Below are 6651 nucleotides of genomic sequence, written 5' to 3' on the forward strand. Positions count from 1 at the left end.
GGAGATAAAGACACATACCTCTTTGTTCAAGGAGAGGGAAGATAGGCATGTAAACAAAGTAAATTTCATGTGATAAGTTTGATAAAAATGCCAATGTGAGCATTATTCTCCATTCATCTCCCCTTCTTCCTAGACTCCTTTCTGTTTTTTTACCACACAGGCAGGCACTGCTGAGGACACTATCTCTCAGACTCCCTTGTCACCTGAACTTCCATTAGTTTCTGCCAAAGAGAGGCTGCTCATGATGAAGGACAGGTAAACCCCGAAAATGGGGCTTAGCCCAGGAGGGTTCTTGACTGCACCCAGAAAAGAATTCAAGGGTGAGATAGTGGTGAAAGAAAGCAACTTTATTGAAGCAGCAGTGTACAGCAGCTGCAGAGGTACAGCTCCTTGTGGAGCAGGGCTAAGTGTGTCCAAAGTAGCAGCATATGGGCTGTTGGCTAGCTGTATTTATATCCACATTTAATTATATGCAAATTAAAGGGCTTTCCAGAATTAGTGTCATTTTATGTAGATCCAATCAGCACTTCAATTTTTCAGAAAGCTAGAAAAGTGCATTTTACTCCCACAAGAAAAAATAAATAGCTTGAAGCACAGTTGACACTTCAAATTAATGTATCTAGATTATTGAAATTTAGATAATGTAATTCTTTTATTTAGAAGGAAGAAAATTTATTTAGAACTTTCTAGAAAAAGAGCAGGGAGTTGCTGATCTCTTACCTCACTCAGGTGTTTGTCTCTGGCAGTGGCTGAGTTCCACCAGGACAGAAACTCTCTTCCTCCACAGCTCTGGCTCTCACTGGCCCTAGAAACACTCCTTTCTTCTCTTGCTCCTTCATCCCTAGGGTTTGTGATGGCTTATTAACATTTTTAGTCTCTGGAAGTATCAACAACCTTGGTTTGTGCTTTTGTAAGTAGTTTCTTTATTTGAACCATATGGGGTGTTTTCTCCAAGCTCCTTCCTGATATAAAACATTGTAGGAGCTTAAGAGAAGGTTGTTAACTCCATCTGGGGAAGTTAGAGAAGGAGTATATTTTTGCATTGATACTTAAAAGATAAATAATTACTTTCCAGACATGCTGGCAGGAGGAGACAATTACAGATAGAAGAGACAGTTTCTACAAAGGAGAAAAGTATGAGACAACATGCTATGATCACGGCATTATTTATAAATAACTAACTATTTCTGAGTATGAAGTATAAGGCACAGGTCATCAAGAGTCAAATGCTTGAAGTTAATTTAGCTGATGTTCTCTAAATTGACTATTTTAGACAATTTATCAAATCTTGTAAAAGTTTCTTATTTTTAAAAATTATGATAACAAAAACTACCATTTGTCAGCAATTATGTATCACAAACTGTTTTACTTTTTTGTTGCACAACTGCTGTGTCATATGCTGACGTGGACAAGTGCAGGGTGGAGAATGGGAACAACTCTCAAAGAAATACCTAAGCATAATATTTCAAATGGAGTGTCCATGTATCTGCTATAAACAATGGCAAAGACAGTTCAGTCTTTAAAGCAAAAATATTAAATAGTAAAGCAAAACAGGAGACTTTAAATACTAGACTTAGAACTCATCTGATGACTTGCATCCTCTTTATCAAGTCCATGCCATGTGGGTATTCCCAGGATATATGTAAACTCGGGAGCAGGGAATAAAAAACATCTTGGAGCTCCTTTATCCTATCTTTGAACAATTCTGACAATAGGACAATCGTTCTTTAAGATGAGCTGAAAAATAGCTCCTCATTCTGTCCATTAGAACAGCATTGCAAAAATTCATTCTGTACTATTCTAACACTACACACGCTCCCTGGGAAAAGATTTCTAAGAAATATAAAAAGCACTGCAGAGTATTTACTTCATTTAAAAATTGCATAAGTAAATCTATTAAATGATATTTAATACAAAGTTTTCCAAAAATACTTGACTACTGAGTATTTCTTTATTGTTACATTATTGCATAATTTAGTAACATCTGGGAACTAGTTGTTTTTGCCTAGATCCTCTAGAAAGCAAAGCCTGGGGCAAGAGTGAAAGTGGAGATACTCCATGTAGGTGATTACAAGCCCAGGATGGAGGTGGTGAAAGGGGAAATGGAGTGGGCATAAGTACAACGTGCTGACTGCCACTTCCCAATGAACCAGGAAACACAGAAGAATGCTCCACAGCGTCTCCCCCAAAAATGTGACTGTTCATACAAGGTACAAAGGAAGGGGAATTTATCTGTCATGCTTCCACACACCTTCTTTTGCTATTGGTCAAGGACTACCCCAGGCAACCACTAACCCCTCTCTATCTTCAGGTTGCAGTAGCTGTCTCTCAATGGTCACTCAGGGAGCCAAATTCCAAGTTGCCTATTTGAATCCTAAAGTGGAGGGGGTGAATTCTCAAGTGTAGGCCCAGCCTGTGGGGTATAAGGGCCATTCAGGCCCCAGGCTTCAACCCAGACTCCAGCCAGCTCATGTAGCTTGGCTTGTGCTGTGTAGCTGAACGGCATCTTCAAGGGGACATGAAGTTGAATAGTTGAGTGAATCCAAGAAGCCACACGACACTGCCTTAGAGGCATGCAGGATTTGAATTCTCCTTTCACAGTCATTCTGTAAATATTACTAGGTTGATGATATCTCTGAAGATTTGTAAAGTTAACATCCTCAGTTTCTTAGACTGAATCCCCTTGTCTTCCTGTCCTTTGGTTGTTCTTCTATTTATTTGTAGTCTATTTTAAAAAGATACTCGGACCTCAAACCATGGCCTAGGTGTCTGAGTGGATTTGTCCATATTCTAGATAAGAAAGTACTTCTGTTCATACTGCCAGAGATGACATTGCTTTCTAATGGCAGATCCATCACACTCTGCCTTGATAAACCTCTGAACTGTTTCTTTTCTTACACTGCTACCTACCCATCCTAGAGTTGGAGAGTCGAGATTTTTATTATCTAAGAGTAGTACTGGAAACTTATCTTTTTAAAATGTGCTATAGTTATTTTGAGTCCGTTGCTTCAATCATCTGGTTTAGCCTAGTATCTTAAATAGATATCCTTTCAGATTCAGGTTGCTTTTACATTCGCAAAATATGCTATCCAGCTCTTCATTTCCCATTACACTACCTGAAATCTCCCTTTAGGCTTGCACTAATCACCTAGTCCAGGGGTCTCTAAACATTTTTAAATTCACCTCATGATAATAAAAAAAGTAATTAAAAGAATTATATGTGTGCATAAATTACATAGATTATTATAGTGTTACATTAATCAATTCTCAAGAAAGCATCTAAATATTGTCACCTTTAATGGAATTTTCTATTAACACTGGGATACATTTCAAATAACTTTAAATATCAAGGAAAAAAAAAGAGGCTTGCTTTATGGTTTGGGTGCCTAGATTTTAAATGTCTTGGTAATTATAACTTTATGCTATCATTAATTAATATCTCAAGACAGAATGAGCTTCAGTAATTAAATATAGTGAATGGAAATTTGTATATCAAATACTAAATAATATTTTCTAAATTTGGGGTAAACTTCTTTTGGGGTCTGATTGGATTATCATTATTTTCCCTTTGAATTTGGCTGACAACAACTTTGAAGTTTCAGCTCTGTCATTTTGCTGTTGTTGTTGTACACTTGTGTTTATGTTATCTACGTTATCTTTAATTTTTAATTTCTGTATAGGAATCTTTATAAGCCACTTATTTATTTTCTGAAAATATTAATTTGCTGATAGCCAGATAATGCAGTTCAATCCACTCAATTCAAAACATTATAGTACCTTGAAAGCTAATGAGAGAGTGAGGGTGAAGCTTTAAACCACTCAGCCTTAGGGAGAAACTCTGTATATTGTATGTGATAAATGACTGCCTGATATGCAAACCTAATACAGGTGTCACTTTTAGTCTCATATTAAATATTTGTAAGGTCTATTATCTTCATTATTTTTAATACAAACATACATATAAATATAACTTCTAATATTTTCTTTGTAGACACATGGATAATTTGCACAACACCTTTTGATGACCACGGTTCTCATACCTGATTTGTATGATCAGTTGGGGCAACTAATTCACCTCTCTGCACCTCACCTTTTAGTAAAAATAAAGATAGACATTCCTGTTATAGTTGGGGGTCCCAATTACATATTATTTGTCTCCTTCAACACCCAGGAGTAGAACAGGGAGATAAGTGAAAGTCGGTGTCATCCTATTTAGGGATGTCTGTTACTCTCAAAGTCTAATGTTCCCTCGTAAAGATGGAATGGAGGATGTAGGTGATAAATGCAGTCAACATGGCTGCCTCCTGCCTCATCCCTCTCCCCAGTCTAGACCTCAGCAGCTAGCTGTGGGGATGAGCAGGGGCTGCAAAATCACCTCAGAGTACTTACTCTGTGTCTGCTGCTTAGAGAATCTGTCTGTCTCACAGTGACTGGCAGTGATGCTCACCAACCACTGCCCAAAGGAGAAGACACCAGAGAACTCAAAAGTGTCCAGTGGGTGGTAGAATTTATCCTGGATCTGTTACTGCAAGGGCAGAGGGTACTGAACAAGTGCTCCATTTCTCTCACTTATCTTTTTTTTTTATTATTATACTTTAAGTTCTAGGGTACTTTACTTTATATTTGCTCCTCCACAAGGGAGGAAGGAAGGGTAATGTGACTGGTGGGAGCCTCGTATACATGTGCCATGTTGCTGTGCTGCACCCATTAACTAGTCATTTACATTAGGTATGTCTTCTAATGCTACCCCTCCCCCCTCCCCTCACCCCACAACAGGCCCCGGTGTGTGATGTTCCCCTTCCTGTGTCCAAGTGTTCTCATTGTTCAATTCCCAACTATGAGTGAGAACATGCGGTGTTTGGTTTTTTGTCCTTGCGATAGTTTGCTGAGAGTGATGGTTTCCAGCTTCATCCATGTCCCTACAAAGGGCATGAACTCATCATTTTTTATGGCTGCATAGTATTCCATGGTGTATATGTGCCACATTTTCTTAATCCAGTCTATCATTGATGGACATTTGGGTTGGTTCCAAGTCTTTGCTATTGTGAATAGTGCTGCAATAAACTCACTTATCTAAGACACAGCAGCTCAGGAGAGTCAAAGAGGACCTTCTCTCCCACTGCCAAGAGGCAACAGTGCATGGGATGTGTGGGAGGTGACCTACTGGCTACAAGGCTCCCACTAGTCACATTACCCCTCCTTCCTCCCTTATGGAGGAGCAAATATAAAGTAGAGAGAATAAAGTCAGAAATGTTCCATTCAAAATTCCCAAAACTGGGAGAGAACATGAAAATCCCCTTCTATGGAAATGGAAAGACAGAGGATAAGTGTTACTTCCTAAAAAACCTACCTGGCAGGACTGGCAAAATGAATGAATGAAGTATACATGGAAAGCTCCTAAACACCATACACATAGTAGGCATTCCATAAAATTAGCTTAAAAATTAATAATAGTCCTTGAACTAATTGTCTGAACTATGATGGGAGGAAGCCAGTAATTACTAGTAATGACAATTTTTCAACAAGCACTTTAGTCACATTTTATATATTATTGCTGTTATTAAGTACCTAACAAGGTTTGTTGGCATAGAACAATGCATTGCCTTGAATTGAAAATAGGCAGTAATTGAATAGAAAAATGTATAGGCAGTGTAGGTCCCCTTAAATTGAATTCGTTTCTTAAATATAGTACTTATAGTACCCTCGATGTAAGCTTTTTTAAAGCATTAGAGGAATCAAACAAACAAGGTCTATATTTTTGCATAGGGTGTTTTACGTTCAATACTACAATATTTATGTTTGGCACTATTCACTCCATGGGAAAATATAGGCTGTGTGTCTTTTATTTGCTTGATAGTTCAGACTCGCTGATACCCAAGGGCTCACTACACCCACAGATTTTGTCACAATACTTATATTCTGAAAAGGAATTTTTACCATTCAAAAGCAAGCCAAGTCTAATTTTGTAATTTTTATATACTGTAAGATGTTATTATTTAGTATGTGAAGTACCTAGATCTATCATCAGTGAATGTGACATAACATAATCTATTTTACACAGTAAAATGACTTGCCCGGATCTGTTTCGTTTCTAACCGATGGCCAATTTAAAGAGTCTTACTCTTTTTTTTCTGCTTTCTTAGCCAGTTATTAAATTTACTATCAAAGCAATAAAGAGGAAAGAAGCTAATTCTCCTATACCTATTTAGAATAAATGAAATCTGACTTCATGTCAATTGATGCTGCCTATAGACTATTTAAGCATTCCTTTCCTTGAGAAATCCTGATAGTGCAGGTCTTGAAATAACAATAGTGAAGGTCAACTCAGCAGTATTCCTACTATCAAGGGCTATGCAGCACACCAGTTTCTCTCTCAAAAATAGCAGGAGATATAAGTAAATGTGAGCCATGGTGGTTTGCTGCACAGATCTTCCCATCACCCAAGTATTAAGCCCAGCATCCGTTAGCTATTCTTTCTGATCCTCTCCTCCTACCACCCACTGTCCTCCAACAGTCCCCAGTGTCTGTTGCTCTCTGCCATGTGTCCATTTGTTCTCATCATTTAGCTCCCACGTATAAGTGGGAACATACAGTATTTGGTTTTCTGTTTCTGCATTAGTTTGCTAAGGATAATGGCCTCCAGCTCCATAC

Source organism: Homo sapiens, chromosome 8 (genome assembly GCF_000001405.40).
Source record: "Homo sapiens chromosome 8, GRCh38.p14 Primary Assembly".
Classification (NCBI taxonomy): Eukaryota; Metazoa; Chordata; class Mammalia; order Primates; family Hominidae; genus Homo; species Homo sapiens.